At 44.8% G+C, this 20124-nt stretch overlaps 6 annotated features.

Annotated features, from left to right (window-relative positions):
• Positions 1014 to 1103: an enhancer, noted in NCBI's record as "active region_8546". NCBI's record gives its function as "activates an Ori minimal core promoter by ATAC-STARR-seq in GM12878 lymphoblastoid cells {active_cell/tissue: GM12878}" and the evidence as "EXISTENCE:reporter gene assay evidence [ECO:0000049][PMID:35858748]".
• Positions 1174 to 1373: an enhancer, noted in NCBI's record as "active region_8545". NCBI's record gives its function as "activates an Ori minimal core promoter by ATAC-STARR-seq in GM12878 lymphoblastoid cells {active_cell/tissue: GM12878}" and the evidence as "EXISTENCE:reporter gene assay evidence [ECO:0000049][PMID:35858748]".
• Positions 6487 to 6781: a silencer, noted in NCBI's record as "tiled region #433; HepG2 Repressive DNase unmatched - State 4:PromP". NCBI's record gives its function as "represses a minimal TATA promoter and a strong SV40 promoter by Sharpr-MPRA in HepG2 cells {active_cell/tissue: HepG2}" and the evidence as "EXISTENCE:reporter gene assay evidence [ECO:0000049][PMID:27701403]".
• Positions 9993 to 10162: an enhancer, noted in NCBI's record as "active region_8544". NCBI's record gives its function as "activates an Ori minimal core promoter by ATAC-STARR-seq in GM12878 lymphoblastoid cells {active_cell/tissue: GM12878}" and the evidence as "EXISTENCE:reporter gene assay evidence [ECO:0000049][PMID:35858748]".
• Positions 10183 to 10242: an enhancer, noted in NCBI's record as "active region_8543". NCBI's record gives its function as "activates an Ori minimal core promoter by ATAC-STARR-seq in GM12878 lymphoblastoid cells {active_cell/tissue: GM12878}" and the evidence as "EXISTENCE:reporter gene assay evidence [ECO:0000049][PMID:35858748]".
• Positions 11806 to 11905: an enhancer, noted in NCBI's record as "active region_8542". NCBI's record gives its function as "activates an Ori minimal core promoter by ATAC-STARR-seq in GM12878 lymphoblastoid cells {active_cell/tissue: GM12878}" and the evidence as "EXISTENCE:reporter gene assay evidence [ECO:0000049][PMID:35858748]".

The following is a 20124-nucleotide window of genomic DNA, read 5'->3' as shown; positions in this document are numbered from 1 at the left end:
CTACTCGGGAGGCTGAGGCAGGAGAATGGCGTGAACCCAGGAGGCAGAGCTTGCAGTGAGCCAAGATCACACCACTGCACTCCAGCCTGGGCGACAGAGGGAGACTCCGGCTCAAAAAAAAAAAAAAGACATTTAAAAATCTGATTCTCTCTTTCTCTCAGCTCTGCTTTCCTTTGTATTTCCTTTGTGTCCTTCTGAAGACACCAAATCCTTAGAAGGCATCTCTTTGTGCTTCCCTGCCCCCATCTTTGCCATGTCATAGGTTAAGCCTGCTCAGACTTTAACCTATGAAGCAGGCTTAACCTATGAAGTGGCAAAGATGGCCACAAGCAGCTCTGGGCTTGCAAACTACCAGTTTAGCAATCCAGATAGAAACAGTCCACCATTCTCTCGACAGCTCCAGCAAGAGTCCCAGAAATGAGTCTCCATGGCCTGACTTGGGTCATGTGCCTGTCTGTGGCCCTTTCTCCCAAGGCCAGGAGATTGGAATATGCCAGTTGGCCAAGCCTGAGTCACATGCCCACTGTCTGGAGCCAGGTGATGAATCATTCCAGCTCATTCCAGCTGTAACCACATGAACAGAACGAGGAGAGGTGGTTCCCCAAAAGGAAAGCAAAGTGATGTTTCCAACGGAAGGGAAAAGGAGATACTGGACAACAGATTTTCACTGTACACAGATTTGACTATTGTATTTTCTGGTAGGAGGTAGGGAGAAGAAGTGAGAGCCAGAATAAAAAGTCCCAGAGAGCAATGAGACATTCAGTTAATACTCTGTAGTTGACTCAACACTTTGCATCCCTGGAACATTCTGCCTAGTAATATGGCTTCAGGAGAAAGGGTCCTGGGCCATTTTAGGAAGGGAGCCCTGCACTTGCTGAGAAACACAACTGTGAATGATAAAGGGAACGAGAACCCTATTTCCTGACTCATTAAAGCAAGAGAGTGCTTAATAAATACTACTTGGTGATAAAGTTCTGACAAGGCCACTCATCTAATAACCACAGTTCTGACTCTGATTCCTATTCTGCTTAAGAATCTACACGAGCCCAGACTTCAGCTGTCATTAACAGAGGTCATGTCGTTGGCAGGCTGCCTGTCACAGATTCCGTGCACAGGAGGGCAAATAGCAAATGGGGAACTCCGGACACCACAGGTGTTTCTCTCTGAGTCACAGCGCTTCAGCCTCATTCCCCTTCCCTGGAGAAGACTTCCTCCATTCCATCACTACTTCTACCTCCTAAATAGCACTTTTCTCACCATTTCATATTACAAAAGCATGTTATGACATGCTTATTTCAGGAAACTCAAATAAGAGCATGCAGAGTCCCCATATTCTTCTCTACCTTATTACAAATCATATCCTCTTCTAGGCATATACGAATACTGTATATAAGACTTTTAAAAGTGGGATAACACTGTTCCATGACATATATTGGAAATATGTTGTGGGAAGTCAGGGACCCCAAACAGAGGGACCGGCTGACACCATGGCAGAAGAACATGGATTGTGAAGATTTCATGGACATTTATTAGTTCCCCAAGTTAATACTTTTATAATTTCTTATGCCTGTTTTTACTGCAGTCTCTAAACATAAATTGTGAAGATTTCATGGACACTTATCACTTCCCCAATCAATACCCTTGTGATTTCCTATGCCTGTCTTTACTTTAATCTCTGAATCCTGTCAGCTGAGGAAGATGTATATTGCCTCAGGACCATGTGATAATCGCATTAACTGCACAAATTGTAGAGCATGTGTGTTTAAACAATATGAAATCTGGGCACCTTGAAAAAAGAGCAGGATAACAGCAACTGTTCAGGGAATAAGAGAGATAAACTTAAACTCTGACCGCTGGTGAGCCGGGCGGAACAGAGCCATATTTCTCTTCTTTCAAAAGCAAATGGGAGAAATATCACTGAATTCTTTTTCTCAGCAAGGAACATCCCTGGGAAAGAGAATACGCACCTGGGGGTATAGGCCTATAGACAGCCCCCCTAGGTGTGCCCGTCTTCTATGGTCAAGGCTGTAGGGGTGAAATAGACCCCAGTCTCCCACAGCGCTCCCAGGCTTATTAGGAAGAAGAAATTCCCACCTAATAAATTTTAGTCAGACCGGTTGCTCTCAAAACCCTGTCCCCTGATAAGATGTTATCAATGACAGTGGTGCCCGAAGCTTCATTAGCAATTTTAATTTTGCCCCGTCCTGTGGTCCTGTGATCTTGCCCTGCCTCCATTTGCCTTGTGATATTCTATTACCTTGTGAAGTACTTGATGTCTGTGACCCACACCTATTCGCACACTCCCTCTCCTTTTGAAAATCCCTAATAAAAACTTGCTGGTTTTTGTGGCTTGTGGGGCATCACGGAAACTACCGACATGTGATGTCTCCCCCGGATGCCCAGCTTTAAAATTTCTCTCTTTTGTACTCTGTCCCTTTATTTCTCAAGCCGGCCGACGCTTAGGGAAAATAGAAAAGAACCTAAGTGACTATCGGGGCAGGTTCCCTGAGAAGAATATCTCTCAATGCCCATAGATACCCTTCTGTAGCATTAAATTTAAGAGATTCAAGTTGGTGATTTTTTTAGTGGATGTACTATAAATTATTTATCCTTTTTTCTACTATCGGGTAGCTACATTGTTTACACATGTTACTATTATGATATTCTGTGGACTGTTTTAAAAATAAAATAAATGAATGGGGTTACAGTAGGGAGGTATAATGGCCAGTGTGGGAAAGACACAGCTACCAGGTGAGGTGGCTCACGCCTGTAATCCTAGCACTTTGGGAGGCAGAGGTGGGTAGATCACTCGAGCCCAGGAGTTTGAGACCATCCTGGGCAACATGGCAAAACCTTGTCTCTACAAAAAATAGAAAAATTCACCAGGCATGGTGGCACACATCTGTGGTTCCAGCTACTAGGGAGGCTGACACAGAGGATGGCTCGAGCCCAGGAGGTTGAGGCTGCAGTGAGCCCAGATTACGCCACTGCATTCCAGCCTGTGGCACAGAGTGGGACCCTATCTCAAAACAAAACAAAAAATTAAATAAATAAAAAAGAAAAATGCAACATACTACAGAAAAGCGGTATGAGGGAAAATAGTTGCTTTCAGAAAAATATCTCCATTTAATATCATGTAGACCACACCTGGAATTTGGGGATTTTTCTGGGCTCTGCTCTCAGCTCAGTAAGGTTTTTGCTATTTGAATGACTATAAAGAAGCTTTATCCATCTGGATCCTGTTGTTGCTGTGTAATGGGGGTGGGTGTGTGGGTCACTAATTCCATCAACTTTGATTCGATATGTTTCTGTTATACTAGTTAACAAATTGCCCCAAAACGTACTGGCTTAAACCAATCATCATATTTGCTTATGTTTCTCTGAGTCAGCAATTTGGACAGAGCTTTGTTGGGTGGTTATTCTGTTCCTCATGCCACTGGCTGAGGTCATTTACTAGGCTTCATTTACCTAGTGGCTAGACAGAAAGGTCTAAGAAAATTTCACTTACGTGTCTGGCACCTCAGCACTTCTCCACTTGGTCCCTCTCTCCACGTGGTAAGGTTGAGCTTTCTCATGATATAGAAGTTTCAAGGTAACCAGATTTCTTATATGGCAACTGCTCCCAAATGGGACAAAATTGGAAGCTACGGATATCTTAGGGCCCAGCCTTAGAAGTTATACAGTGTTACTGCAGCCTCAACCTCCTGAGCTCAAGCAATCCTCCTGCCTCAGCTTCCCAAGTAGCTGGGATTATAGGCATGTGCCACCATACCCAGTTAATTTTTTAAATTTCTTTGTAGAGACAAGGTTTTGCCACTTTGGCCAGGCTGGTCTCAAACTCCTAGGCTCAAGTGATCCACCTGCCTTGGCCTCCCAAAGTGCTGGGATTACAGATGTGAGCCACTGTGTTTGGCCTCCAGTGTATTCTATTTGTCAAAACCAGTGTCAGAGTTGGTCTGTTTCAAAGAAATAGAAAATAGACCACACTTCTTGATAGTAAGAGAGGCAAAGAATTTTAAACCTTCTTTAACTCACTACAGTGAATATGATGAATACAATAGGATTATAGCGTTCTCCTATAATCAAGATACATAGAATATAATGGTGTCATAAAATACTATGTCCTAAGTATGCACTCAATCGACTAGAAGAGAGATTTAAGCCCATTTATAGTCAATAATTTTGCCCAAGTTCTGAGCATACACCAAAATAAACCATTGCCGAGATGGTATGTGGAAAATAGAATCCCTGGCAAAACTCACCCCTACAAGACAACAGTGATACCCATCCCAACTCACAGCCACCACCCACAATACTGGAGAAAGGCTCTGGGTCTTGGACATCTCAGCTCAACTCCTCCCTCTGCCATGGAGCTTCTTATAGACTTCCCACTCCTTAAATATAGTAATTCTTTCACAAGTCTGTTATAGGAGTTTTGAGATCTTTGTGAGAACATTTCTGCTAAAATTATAAATATTGGCTCTGAAACTGTTAATGTGCTTCCTCAGATGGCAAAAGAAAATAAGGTATATGTTGCCCTATGAAAACGGTGCATTTTCCATCTAAGAGTTAATGCTATCTTGCCACATGGAAACCTTGAAAAAAAACACTAAAATCCCTCCAACAGCATTAGGCCCTAGAAGTCTGAGTGAATCAGCCCAGATGAAGGAGCCCTTCTTGGCTATCCCCGTTTCAGTTACTGTGATGATGCAGGGAGTTTCTTCATCATACACACTTCCATCTTAGAGCTACTTTTTTTTTTTCTTTTTTTTTTTTTGAGACGGAGTCTGGCTCTCTCGCCCAGGCTGGAGTGCAGTGGCATGCTCTCGGCTCACTGCAAGCTCTGCCCCCAGGTTCACGCCATTCTCCTGCCTCAGCCTCCCGAGTAGCTGAGACTACAGGCGCCCGCCACCATGCCCAGCTAATTTTTTGTATTTTTAGTAGAGACGGTGTTTCACCATGTTAGCCAGGATGCTCTCGATCTCCTGACCTCATGATCCGCCTGCCTCAGCCTCCCAAAGTGCTGGGATTACAGGCGTGAGCCACCCCACCTGGCCAGAGCTACTTTTATTTTTTACAGGGTTATCCAAGCACTGAGTATGGTCTACATTTAATATCTAGTTATTAGTTGACTGATTCCCACTTGATTGCCAAAAGATGCTGCTATTTTGTACATAGCATCCCTGGAGGAAAGCCATTTGGAGGTTAATATGTGGGCAAATGGGCCACATGAGGAGCAGAAAGTTGGATCCTCTGTAATCAATACACAACCTTGGCCCCAGCCATGGGGTCCACCTTCTCCACAGGAATGAACAGCGTATGGCTTTTAGAAGGGCTTAGCCAATCTCCGTGGCTCATCTGTAATCCCAGCACTTTGGGAGGCCAAGATGGGAGGATCACTTGAGGCCAGGAGTTCGAGACTGGCCTGGGCAACATAGTGAGACTCCATCTCTACAAAATAAATAAATAAATAAATATTAGCCAGGTGTGGTGGTGTGCACCTATAGTCTTAACTACTTGGGAGGCTGAGCGGGGAGGATCACTTGAGCCCAGGAGGTCAAAGCTGCAATAAGCCGTGATCACGCCACTGCACTCCAGCCTGGACAACAGAGCAAGACTTGGTCGCTAAATAAATAAATAAAATGTAAAAAATAAAAGGGCTTAGACTTAGTGTCTTGGAGTGAAAATGAACTCCAAGCTGATCAGATAAGGGTTGACCAGCTCTTTCTTTAATTTTAATTATTTATTTTTTATCTCCCTTTCCTGGTACCTTCATGACTGGCTCTTAAATATTTAAATTTTCTTTGTCACAGGCTAGCCTGAAGCTCTGTGCCTATTTGATTTATATAACTCATATCTGGTTGATGTTGGTGGATTGAGACAAATATCTTTTCAGAACTGAAAATGACTCTATCTTTTTTCTTCTCTATGTTTCCCTCCAAGCAAAAGCCAGTGCTCTAAAAAGCTAAGAGTCAGACAGATAGATGCCCACTTCCAAGAGAGGGTGAGTTCTACCTTGCCCATCCCCTAGTCTTCACTTTGATTGTCCCTAGACCACTGGGAAGGAATCAAGACATTATTTCATTCCATTGGGATCATTTAAAAATAGCAGAACCACTTTCTGCTTCGCTGCAGCTCATGATAGTGAGATGAGTGAATTAAAGCGAATGGCTGTTAGAGAAAGTAGGGGAATGAATTTTAATGCAGCATCTGGCAAACCTGCCTTTGGAGTCTTTTCATGCCATGACCATTGTGCAGGCATTAGGGTAAGTGCTTTGGGACTTGTATCCAGGTTCTTGGACCTGGATACGAGGTTCTAAACAAGCCAGACCAAATGTAGGGGGAGGAGGCATTAGACCTCACAAGGCTGCCCTCACCCCACCCTGCCAAGGTCTGAACCCAAAGTTAGCGGGCTCTGCATACTGAACCTTGCTCTCTGGCCCCAGGGAAGAACGTCCCCCTGCTGTGGAGAGATGTCTGTCCCAGAGAGAAAATGGCCCCTTCACCTGGTTCCAGAGTATTCAAAGGCACTCTCGGACAGAAGAGGAAAGAGAGAGGAGTGTGTGAGAAAGAGAGCAGGGGAGGGGGAGACAGTGAGAGCGGGCGAGCATGCAGACTAGGAACTCGGTCTTGTTTCTCACATGCTCTCAGCTCTCTGAGCTGGGTCAGTGCATCCCGCCGAGACCACGCCCTCCTGTCCACAGAAACCTGAAAAGAACCACCAAGGGGCTTCTGACTTCATTCACTGGCCTTATTCGGCATCGTAACAACTGACTTTATCCCGGCTTTATGGTTTGCCTCTGTGACATCCTGAGGGAGTAGTTGCACTATACATACACACACACTCACGACTTTCACACACACATATCACACACTCACACAATTCACACACAATCACACACAATTCACACACACAACACGCACACATCACATACAACTCACACATCACACACAACTCACGGACATCACACAAATTCACACACACTCTCACAACTCACATCACACACAAATTCACACACACACCCCACACACATTCACATACCATCACACCCCCACACACTCAGCACACACACTCACACATTTACACACACACAACCTACACTCACATATCACACTCACAATTCACTCTTACATAACACACACACTCTCACATCCACACACCCCCCACACACCCTCACACATTCACACACACTCACCCCCCACACACACTCACACACACCCCTTCCTCACACTCCCCCATTCGACAGAATTCTGCTTTGTAAAGGGAGCTGTGAGGACGGAAATACTAAGGCATACCATCAGAGGGAGGGAAAGAAAAGACTGGGAAGAAAATTCACTGAAAAGGATTTCTGAGTCTGCAGATGGGGAACTTTTTCTTTTGAAACCATTTCAGACTTACAGAAAAGCACAAAGTACTTTTCACAGAAAAATACAAGAGTACAGACAATTCCTGTGTCCTTTTCACCCTGTCTGCTTCTGATTTTCCTTCCCTATGTAGACTGTTTTCTGAACCATTTGAGAGTAAGGTGCAGATAAGATCCCCCTTTATCCCTAAATACTTGAGTGTATGTTTCCTAAAAAACATGAATATTCTCTTTCATAACTCAAATACATTATCTAACTCGGGAAATTAATATTGACACAACACTATTATCTAAACTATACATCTTTCTGATGTAAAATTTCACCAGTTATTCTAATAATGTTCTTTATAAGAGCAAAATAATGTTCTTTATAAAGAGAAAAAAATGTTTTGATCCAACATCCAATCCAACCTCTTAACAATGTCACGACTTTTTTTTTTTGAGACGGAGTCTCGCTCTGTCGCCCAGGCTGGAGTGCAGTGGTGCGATCTTGGCTCGCTGCAAGTTCCGCCTCCCGGGTTCACGCCATTCTCCTTCCTCAGCCTCCCAAGTAGCTAGGACTACAGGCGCCCGCCACTAAGCCCGGCTAATTTTTTGTATTTTTTTAGTAGAGACGGGGTTTCACCGTGTTAGCCAGGATGGTCTCGATCTCCTGACCTCGTAAGCCACCCGCCTCGGCCTCCCAAAGTGCTGGGATTACAGGTGTGAGCCACCGCGCCCGGCCTTTTTTTATTTTTTTGAGACGGAGTCTCACTCTGTCGCCCAGGCTGGAGTGCAGTGGCGCGATCTCGGCTCACTTCAAGCTCTGCCTCCCGGGTTCATGCCATTCTCCTGCCTCAGTCTCCCGAGTATCTGGGACTACAGGCGCCCGCCACCACGCCCCGCTAATTTTTTTTTTTTTTTTTGTATTTTTAGTAGAGACGGGGTTTCACTGTGTTAGCCAGGATGTCTCGATCTCCTGACCTCTTAATCTGCCCACCTCGGCCTCCCAAAGTGCTGGGATTACAGGCGTGAGCCACCGCGCCCGGCCAGCAATATCATGTCTTTTTAGGTTTCTTCAATTAGAATAGTTCTTCAGCTTTGTCTTTCATGACACTGACATTTTTGAAGAATGTAAGCCATTTATTTAATCGACTGTCCCTCCTTTTGAATTAGTCTGATGTTTCCTCACAATTAGATTCCGGTTGTACCTTTTTGGCAGGAAAACCACAGAGGTGATATCATGTCCTTCAGCACACATACATCAGGAGATATATGCTATCAATCTGTCCCATTTGTCCCTTGCGATGTTAACTTTGATCATTTGATTCAGGTGGGGATTATCAGTCCTCTCTACTGTAAAGTTATTATTTTTCTCTTTGAAATCAATAGGTGTTTTATGAGGATCTACTTTGAGATTGTGTAAATACACTGTTTCTCATCAAATTTTTACCCACTAGTTTTAACATCCCTTGATAATTCTTGCCTGAATCATTAATGACTCTAAGGTTTACCAAATGGTCATTTTCTAATTTTATCATTTCTTATACCTATATTAGTTGTAATTTTACTCTAAGGAAAGCCTTTTTCTTTTTCTCCATTTATTTATTTGCTTATATTAATATGGACTTAGATTTTCACATTTTATCCAATTTATTATTATTATTATTTTAGATGAAGTCTCCCTTTTGTCATCCAGACTGGAGTGCAGTGGTGTGATCTCGGCTCACTGCAGCCTCCGCTTCCTGGGTTCAAGCAATTCTCCCGCCTCAGCCTCCCGAGTAGCTGGGAAAACAGGTGCTCACCACCATGCCCAGCTAATTTTTGTATTTTTAGTAGAGATGGAGTTTCACCGTGTTGGCCAGGCTGGTCTCGAACTCCTGACCTCAGGTGATCCACCCGCCTTGGCCTCCCAAAATGCTGGGATTACAGGCATGAGCCACCGTGCCCAGTTGATTATTATTATTATTTTTTAAAAGTTCAGATTGTCCAAGATTTGAATGGGAGCTCCTTCCAGCTTCTTCTTCTTCTTCTTCTTTTTTTTTTTTTTTTTATTGAAACAGGGTATCTTTTACTACATAGCACAGGCTGGAGTGCAGAGTGGCTATTTACAGAGGTGATCATGGCTCACTGCAGCCTCAAACTCTTGGGTTCAAGCAATCCTCCCACCTCAGCCTCCTGACTAGCTGGGACTACAGGTGCATGTTACTGCCCCCCAGCTAGGGTTATTTTTGAAGGTGGATTCTCCAAAACTCTGGTCCAGGCTATTTCTCCAAATTATGAATGTTTAAACAGCATTCAAGAATCTAATTTTTAACATTATGAGAAAGCACAGCATCTATGCCAGTGAATTTTAGAGTTCCAACGAAATAACAAGATGTTTATTTACATACATTTTATAATCTTCCTAAAGACCAGACTCATTTCCTAAGTGAGGACATGACTTCCTCTCTCTTCTCCCGGTCCTGATGTATGTCCAGTCCATTTCACAGTAGACCTACTGAGGAAGTAGCAGGGTAGAGAGGAGAGTCAGGGAAGTGGGAAGGTGAGAGAGAAGTAGGGAGGAAAAGGAACAGGAGGAGAAAGAACTCCTCTCCTCTCCTCATTTGTTCAGACGGTCTGGCACCTACAGCCTCCTCATGTCCCCCAGCCCCACTGCCCCCTCCTGGAAGTCAGCGCACTGCTGCCGCTGGCATTCACATCGTGTCGGCAGGACGCCGCGTTGTCAGAGGTTAGAGACAGCCACTTTCATCTCAGAAAAGGGGCCGGGAGATGACCTGGGTTATATAGAAGGAACTCAAGTCTTCTTGCCGCAGAAATGCCACTGGAAGGGATGGAGGAGAGAAAACCCGGTTGTATGATGTCTGCATTGCCCTCCTCGCTGGAACTCACCACAGGCTGGAGGTGCTTCCGGCAGAACCGAGCTCCGGGGAAAGCCTGTGATAAATCATCTCTGTCTTTACTAGCCAAGGGTTGCTATGGCAATAGGAATACACTGTAGGTTTTAAGAGATGTAATTTTCTGTGATTCACTGTATATTTTTAGCCATTTTTCCCTCTGTATTATCTCCCTGTGGTAATTGCCTATTAATGCTGGTCTGTACTAAGATTGGACTAAACGGTCGATTCTCAGAAGAGATGAAAACCCTGGAGCTCAGTAAGTACAAGGGGGTGATGGCCCATGAACTTAAGAGTAACCTGGTAGAACAACCAGATTAGTTCAGGACATGGATGAATTCACGTGGCCCATGCTACGTCTGTCTTGGGAGGAGAGTAAAGCAGAGTGAAGGGACCCAGCAATGTGGCTCTGGAGTTTTGGGAATGGGAAGCTGAGTCACACTACCCACTGAAATCCATATGCTCGAATGGTGTCAAGGGCAGGCCACAAAAGTCAGAAACGAGCATCCTGCGCAAGGGACACTAGGACCCAGGTTTCCAAACAAAGGAACTGTAAAAGCTTCTAACCTTTTGTTTTTTTTTTTGTTGTTGTTGTTGTTGTTTTTTTTTTGAGACAGAGTCTCGCTCTGTTGCCCAGGCTGGAGTGCAGTGGTGTGATCTCGGCCCATTGCAAGCTCCACCTCCCAGGTTCATGCCATTCTCCTGCCTCAGCCTCCCGAGCAGCTGGGACTACAGGCGCCCACCACCATGCCCGGCTAATTTCTTTGTGTGTTGTTTTTTTTTTTTTAGTAGAGACGGGGTTTCACCGTGTTAGCCAGGATGGTCTCGATCTCCCGACCTCGTGATTCACCTGCCTCGACCTCCCAAAGTGCTGGGATTACAGACATGAGCCACCGTGCCTGGCCTCTAACCTCTTTTAATTTAGTTCAAGTCTTCTATTGTTTCTTATCTTATCCTTCCTTCTTTATTCCTTTCTTCTTTCTTTCCTTGCTCTAATTTTACTTTTTTTTTTTTTTTTTTTAACCGTAAAATCAGGGGAGAGACTAAGAGGAGGTGAAAACAGAATGTATCTAGTTGCTATTGGTTCATAGTTGTATCAGGGGTCTTTCCATCCAGGCCACAGAAAATCCAGCCTAAACTGCTTAAGCAGAAAGAGAACTTACTCTTTCTCTAATAGCTGAAAAGTCCAGGGGCTTGGGTTTAGTCTCAGGCACAGTTGTATTCAGAAGGCCAGATGACATCATCAACATCTGGGCTGTCTGACACACCACTAAGTTTCACTGATATTTGGGCATTTGGGCTGCAATAACATGAAACTCAGCTAACAGAGGCTTCAACAAAGTGTGGTTTGTTTTTCTCACATAAGAAGTCCAGAGAGAGGTTTATTTTTCTCATTCAACAAGCAGCCCAGAATAGGCATAGATGACGTTACTATGCAGCAGCTCAGTAATGTCATCAAGAACCCAGCCTCCTTCTTCATTTCAGCTCTACTGTCTTCAGGGTCACAGGAGGACAGGTCCAGCTCTAGACATTCAAGGCAGAAAGAAGAGGCTAGCTAACTTCCGATTTTTTTTTTTTTTATCCAGAAAAGTAAATCAATCCCCAAAGTTCCCAGCTGACCTCTGCTTCCAGTTGATTGAATACATCAGTGCCATGAGGCCACTTTAGCCACAGAGGAGGCTGGGAAAGTACGTTTTTAAGCTTTTTTGGTCCCTGCAGTAGAAGCAGTGTTTTTTGTTTGGTTTGGTTTTGCCTCATATAACAGTCAAAGAACAAACCGTACCCAAGATTGTGAAAGGGTTCTGCCTCTTCCTTGCAGTCTGACCAGTCACTCCGTTGTCATATCCTAGCCAAGAAGGGAGAAGGTATAAGAGAAGGGCAAGAAGCTTTCTTTTAAGGATGCAATGCATAAGTTGCATTCATCACTTCTCTTCTGCCCATATGCTATTGGTCAGAACATAACCACATGATCACAACCAGCTGTAAGGGTGGCTGGGAAATGTAGTACTTGGGTAGCCATGTGCCCAGCTAAAACTTGAGGAGTTCTGTTAGTCACATGATGAAGAAGAGGGGTATTTTGAAACAACTAGCAATCTCCTCAGGTGTAGTTAGAGCTCCATGATGTGCTCACTTCACATTGCATGCCTGTATCAAAACATCTTATCTACCCCATAAATATATACACCTACTATATACCCACAAACATTTTTTAAAAATAAAATAAAACAAAAATAAATTAAAAAATAAAAAAGAGCAGTTATAGGAGAAAGGGTTTGGATGGCTATTAGATTCACTCATTCAAGGCCAAATATTTCTGCCTCTGCCACATTCTCAGAGAGGCTTACCTTTGTGCAGGTAAGACAGCTTCAGCATCACCAGCCTCACATTCTCCCTGGTCCAAGACCATTAGTAAAAGAGCTCAACATCTTCGCAGCTACCCTGGGCAGTCTCACCACATCTCCTTGGTTCTTACTGGGTCACCTGCCCATCATTAACTAAGGGGATGCAATGCAATACTCTGGTCATTCCTGAATGACTTGCTCCACAAAATCACCAAGATCTTTCTGGGCCTCAGTTTGCTCATCTGTAAACTAAACATAATAAAACCTACCTCACAGGGTTGGTGGGAGAGTGCTGCTGGGGGACTCAGGCTGAGCTGGGGGTCATTGTCCATACATGCATTTCAGTTTGCCTACTGACCAGACTCACCTTAACAATATCATTTCAAAAAACAAGACCCTCTAAAATCAAAGTAATCATCAGTGGATAGTTAGCCTAGATCTCATCTTATAATATATTCCAAAGTAAAAATACTTGCTAGGTACCTGGCACTGTGCTAAGCACTTTGCATACCTTCTATCAAAACTCTCAAAGTAATTCCATGGGAGAGATACTTTCACTGTTTTCAATTAACAGACAAGAGTGGTGATGGGTGCCTGTAATCCCAGCTACTCGGGAGGCTGAGGCACAAGAATCACTTGAACCTGGGAGGCAGAAGTTCCAGTGAGTCGAGATCACACCACCGCACTCCAGCCTGGGTGACAAAGCAAGACTCTTAAAAAAACAAACGAATAAACAAACAAAAATAAACGAGTAAATAAACAAAAGGGATAAGGAAATTTAGCTCCTTGCCTAAGGTCACAGCCAGCACAGTGATGGAGCCACAAAGCCAGGACTAACTTTGAACCCCCACAATCTCCTCCCTCTTATTGTATAAAAATAAGTAAAAATAACCACATATTTATGAAATCACGAAAACCTTCCTGCTGATTGTGGTGGTCACAAGAAAGCACCTTTTGATGCAGGACAGATGAACCTCCAAATTGGGGCTTAGCCCAGGAAGGTTCTTGGCTTTGCCGAGGAGAAAATTCAAGGGCAAGCCAATGGTGTTGAACAGCCTTTGATGAAAGCGCCCAGTGCACAGGAGCAGCAGAGGTACTGCTCCTTGCAGAACAGGGCTACCCTATAGGCAGTGGGCCCAGAGTAACAGCTCAGAGGAAGTTCTGCACTCATTTTTATGCCTGCTCTGAATTGTATGCAAATTAAGGGGTGGTTTATGCAGAAATTTCTAGAAAAGAGGTGGTAACTTCTAGGTTGTCAAGTCATTGCCACAGAAAGGGGTGGGAACTTCTGGGTGTTGCCATGGTAATGGTAAACTGACAGGGCACAGTGATGGGCGTGTCTTATGGGGTGGTGCTTCTGCCCTGGACTTGTTTTAGTTAGTCCCCAATTTGGTCCAGTATCTGAACCCTGCCTTCAAAGTAAAGTCTCACCTCCTACCTCACTTTGATCTCCCTTTGAGAGAACCTGCTACCAGGAGTAGCAGGATGACAGCCTTACACTATGGATCCTTTGGGCTCCCTGCAGCCTTCACACTGAGGCCTCCCCCTCCCTGGGCACAACAGATGTACTACAGCCAGGCCAGTCCTGTCCAGTGGCAACTCCTCTGTTCTTGGGCTTCCCATAAGCCTGGCTGTGGCTTTCTTGGAGCTATGCTGTAGTCTAGATTCTTCCTACCCAACTCTCTTTCCTTTCCACTCTCCTTCAGCAAGTGCCAGGCCTGCACTGCTGCCTGAGGGCTGTCCTCACCACTCCTGCTCCCACACCCTATATCCTTCACATACATTCTCCCCCGTGCATTTATGCTCTGCCTAATTCCATCTTGGCATGTGTTTCTCAGAGGACCTGAAATGACACACTTCTTGTACCTCCCTTAACTCACAACATGAACTACATCACAGGCTTTTATGTTTCCAAAGATTTTTGAGTGTTAAAGAATAAGAAAGCAATAAAAATAATAATTCAAAATTGGGCTGTAGGGAAGATCTAATGTGGTCCAATAAAGAGGCTCCTAGCCTGGCACTTAAAAGGTAGAGACTCCTTCTTGAAGCAAGTTTCTGCATAGAGAGAAAAACAATAATCATTGCTGATCTTAAAAGAAACCTAGCTGCATTGGGCATTTTGGATGGAGAGGGTTAGAGGCATCTGAGACTTGCCTGGAGTCACTCCACAGGGTCACAGATAGATTTCAATCATTCTAATCCTCATCCAGAAGCTTCAAATGCTCCTGAGACAAGGAATTGATCCTTTAGCGAAAGAGCGAAGAATGCTACTTAACTCAGCCAAAGAAAAATAATGATCAATTGAGCAAAATGTACTGGCTTTAGACAAGGATCTCCAAACTGAAATGGAATTACTCTTGTTGCCCCTGGGAACACAAACCATGTGCCACAACTACGCTGCCCTGCCCTGCCTCATCCTACCTTAAGGCTTTTTCAGGGGTTACTAACTAGTAGCCACAGAGCAATGTGTCCTACAAACATGTTTTATCTGGTCCCTGTGGTCTTTTTTTACACAATATAAATTAGTTAAGATTTATCAAGTGAGATATTTCACATAAAAAATCTGGACTTCATGCTTCTTTTGGAAAATCAGAAAATCTGACAATATCAGCCCTACATGTGAACTTCCTGCCTCAAACAGAACCAGAATCTCTACTACTCCTCTCCTATTAAACTCCTATTAAACATGCTGGCTTTAACATGCTCAGGACCATAAACCTACTTGATTTTGAGCACTCAGATTCAGATCATGAGCCCTGGGTAGCACTTGGCTGAAGTTAACTGTCAGCTCTTTAAGAAAAATGAGTTAGTAACAATTTTTTTTTTTTTTTTGAGATGGAGTCTTGCTCTGCCACCTAGGCTGGAATGCAATGGTGCGATCTCAGCTCACTGCAACCTCCACCTCCCGGCTTCAAGTGATTCTCCTGCCTCAGCCTCCCAAGTAGCTGAGATTACAGGCACCTGCCATCATGCCCAGCTAATTTTTGTATTTTTGTAGAGATGGGGTTTCACCATGTTGGCCAGGCTGGCCTTGAACTCCTGACCTCAGGTGATCCACCCACCTCGGCCTCCCAAAGTGCTGGGATTACAGGCATGAGCCGCCGCCACTGCACCTGGCCACTAAATAAATTAATAGCATAAACAGGATTTCAAGAAGGAATTTCTTTTTTTTTTTTTTTGAGACAGAGTCTCGCTCTGTCGCCCAGGCTGGAGTACAGTGGTGCAATCTCAGCTCACTGCAAGCTCCGCCTCCTGGGTTCACGCCTGAGGCTCCTGCCTCAGCCTCCCGAGTAGCTGGGACTACAGGCATCTGCCACCACGCCCAGCTAATTTTTCTGTATTTTTAGTAGAGACCCGGTTTCACCATGTTAGCCAGGCTGGTCTCGATCTCCTGACCTCATGATCCGCCCGCCTCGGCCTCCCAAAGTGCTGGGATTACAGGCATGAGCCACCGCACCTGGCTGGAATTTCTTAAAAACTAGTCTTCAAGCACTTAAGTAAGAATGACAGCCATGATTAGCACGGCTGGAAGGTTTGTCAGCACTGACAGCTGGGGACAGGTGTCCCTCGTCAGAGGCAGAGACCCTGGGTTGGAGGAGGTGGGACTTCTGTCCTGGCTTTGTCCTTACTAGTTACACAACCTTGAGCATTGCCTTCACCCTCAGGTCAGGTGCCTGGTGTTGTAAGAGCTAACAGTGCCTAAGTGTTTTACTACCTGAAAAGCAGTCTATTAAGTGTTTTGTATGCATCCTCTCTTTTCATTCCACACCATGTCCTGACGCCATGTACCAGTATTATCCCTAAAGCACAGGAAGGTTTTGTGACCTGTCCAAAGTCAGAGAGTCAGTTGGAGCTCAGATGCTTTGGGCTCCCTGCAACCTTCACACTGAGGCTTCCCCGTCCCTGGGTACAACAGATGTACTACAGCCAGGCCAGTCCTGTCCAGTGGCGACTCCTCTGTGACTGCAGACTCCACACATGCACCTAGAAGACTGTGATGCTTACACCTGCATAGGGTGGTCCGAGGCACTGAAGAAGACTGTGTAGGCCAAGTGCTTTTTGTAATATGTAAAGTGCTACAGGATGATGTTTACTATTATCATTTGAATGCTGCAATTTTCTTTTTCAAAACTGATGCTTTATCTAAAAGTCATCAATTCAGTTTGGCCCCTTCCTACTTCATTCACCTTAATTAATTCATATTTTTCTCTCTTAAAGAGAGAGTAAAGAGCTGGAACTGGCACATCAGTAGTCCTGTATCGCCCTCTGCTGACAACAGTCAGGAAAACTATAAAATTTTAACAGGTGATATTGATTCTCTAAGCCTCCTTGAACAATTTCTGGAGCACCTACTTTGTCCTGGGCATTGTACTAGCTGCTATACGGTCTAGAGAGACTAGGAATGGAGTATACAGGAGATATTATCCTAGATAAGCCTGTCCTGTGTGATTTAGATATAGGAGAAGGAAAGTAGAGAAACCTACAGACAAGGGTGACCTGTATTTCATCTCATAATATATTCCAAAGTAAAAATATTTATTCAGTACTTCCTAGATGATTACCATCAGGACATCACGGAGAGAAGGCCAAAGCCAGACAGAGTTGTCATTATCCCCCTCAAAAGGCCACAAGGAACCCCCAAACAGTGAGGTAAATGGTACTCTTTGCCCAGGCATATGCAGGTAAGTGACTAGCAACCAGCTTTCTGGCCTGGAGAAGCCCTGATTGGTAGTGTTTCCCAATTGTCATGGTGTAAATACTCCCATTATGACCAATTTCAAGCTATCAACATAATGATTCACAACATTTTTGAAAATTTAACAATCGGCCTCTCACAAGCTGTAGGAGCTGGCTCTAACACACCATTTCCTTTTTTTTTTTTTTTTTTTTTTTTAGATGGAGTTTTGCTCTTGCTGCTCAGGCTGGAGTGCAGTGGCGCGGTCTTGGCTTGCTGAAACCTCCACCTCCCGGGTTCAAGCAATTCTCCTGCCTCAGCCTCCCAAGTAGCTGAGATTACAGGTGCCCACCACCACACCCAGCTAATTTTTGTATTTTTAATAGAGATGGGGTTTCACTATATTGCCAGGCTGGTCTCGAACTCCTGACCTCAGGTGATCCACCCGCCTTGGCCTCCCAAAGTGGTGGGATTACAGGCATGAGCCACCACACCTGGCCTCACACCACTTCTTTTAACTCTAGAAAAAATATACCTTCTCATCTTCCTTCCCAATCAACTGGATTCTGGAATTCTCCAAGTTGGTGCACATCTACGGGCAGGGACAGATCAGCTTCACCCCAGAAAGATCAACCCCAAACAGGAAATGGGGAATGCTGGCTGGGTCTTCCCCTACACATCGTCAGGTGGCTCTGGTCAAAGGTCTACTTCACCTTTCCTTCTCTCCCTTCTTCCAGTCCTTCTCCTATCGAACCAACTGAAGAAAGAGGGACTGTCTAGGACATCATGACACATCCCTGAAAGAGAATCTCGTTCTGACACCACCTCCTCGTCTTCATGTCCCAGTTCCCTTCCTTAATGGATTTGGTTCACAAGCCTGCCTCATCTAGAAGCCCCCCCTCACATGCAAGAAGGAGACACCTCCGGGCTCCTGGAGGAACTCCAAGATCTTCTGATATGAAGACGCTGGCCATCTTGGACCATGTGTCTCTCACTTTGTGTAACTCACAAGGAAGAAGGCCCTGCTTTAGCCCCAGAAAAGGAGGAGGAATGTGTAGGGCCATGCAGGGCCTAAGGGAGCAGTTCCCAATTGTCTCCAACTAGAGACAGGACTCAGGCTGAGCAAAACCCAGCTGCTAGGGGCCCAGGAGGTCCAATCTCCTGAGGGTGTGCTTCCTACTCAGCCCAGAAATCATTCCAAGGCCCTCCAGATAAAACTAGAGGCACAGCTGGGCATGGTGGCTCATGCCTGCGATCCCAGCACTTTCGGAGGCTGAGGTGAGAGGATCTCTTGAGGCCAGGAGTTCAACACCAACCTGGCCAACATGGTGAAACCCTATCTCCACTAAAAACACAAAAATAAGCTGGGCATAGTGGCGCACGCCTGTAGTCCCAGCTACTCAGGAGGCTGAGGCACAAAATTTGCTTGAACCTGGGAGACAGAGGTTACAGTGAAGTGAGATCGCACCACTGCACTTCAGCCTGGGCAACAGAGCAAGACTCTGTCTCAAAAAAACAAGACAAAAAAACTAGAGGCCCGATGACCCCACTATCTAAACAGCAGCTGCCAAACCTCTGCCCCCATGAGGTCAGCAGTTCCACTTGCTTATTCTCCCACAAACTAACCTCTGACTTCCTTCTGCAGCTCCCACTTATCCTAAGATTTCAGTGACTTTAACACAAGATGAAATCTACAGTGATGGGCAGGCTTGGGGGTGCATCCTTGTGATCCCAGTACTGTGGGAGGCTGAGGTGGGTGGATTGCTTGAGCCCAGGAGTTCAAGAACAGCCTGGGCAACATAGTGAGCCCCTGTCTCTCAAAAAAAAAAAAAAATTTTTTTTTTAATTAGCTGGACATGGTGGCATGCACCTGTAGTCCAGCTACTTGGGAGGCTGAGGTGGGAGGATCGCCTGAGCCCAGGAGGGAGGAGCTGTGTTCATGCCACTGCACTCCAGCCTGGGCAACAGAGTGAAACTGTGTCTGAAAAACAAACAAACAAACAAAAACAAAAAAACTATAGCAAGAAGACTAAGTTCCTTCTGCTTTTGGTTCAGCTAGTTGGAGTTGTATGTCCTTAAGAACATTTCTAAACCTCTGGGGTTTGTCTTCTGAAGTCTAAATGGAAATAATCATCAGAGAGCACAGTTGAGAGGACTAAATTAGAATGCTGAGAAAAGAGCTTTATAAATCATAGTGTTACATAAATGTTTGTTGTTTTTCTACCTAAGAGACATCTTTACAATGTTTCCCCCTCCTTATAAAAGGAATATGTGTTCTTTACAGAAATTTTGGAAAGTAAATTTCAGTATTAAAAAAAATTAAAATCCCCTGTAATCCCAGCACTTTGGGAGGCTGAGGCGGGCAGATCACAAGGTCAGAAGATCGAGACCATCCTGGCTAACACGGTGAAACCCTGTCTCTACTAAAAATACAAAAAATTAGCCGGGCATGGTGGCGGGCACCTGTAGTCTCAGCTACTCGGGAGGCTGAGGCAGGAGAATGGCGTGAACCCGGGAGGTGGAGCTTGCAGTGAGCCAAGATCGTGCCACTGCACTCCAGCCTGGGCGACAGAGCAAGAGTCCGTCTCAAAAAAAAAAAAAAATTAAAATCAGTCCAGGCACAGTGGCTCACACCTGTAATTCCAGCATTTTGGGAGGTTGAGGCAAGAGGATCTGTAGCCCAGGAGTTTGAGACCAGCCTGGACAACATAGCAAGACCCTGTCTCTACAAAAAATAAATAAGTAAGTATGCAGCCATAAAAAAGAATGAGATCATATCCTTTGCAGGGACATGGATGGAACTGAAAATTATTATCCTTAGAAAACTAACGCAGGAACAGAAAACCAAATGCTGCATGTTCTCACTT

This window comes from Homo sapiens, chromosome 14 (genome assembly GCF_000001405.40).
Source record: "Homo sapiens chromosome 14, GRCh38.p14 Primary Assembly".
Classification (NCBI taxonomy): Eukaryota; Metazoa; Chordata; class Mammalia; order Primates; family Hominidae; genus Homo; species Homo sapiens.
This window is presented reverse-complemented; position numbering and strand designations above follow the sequence as displayed.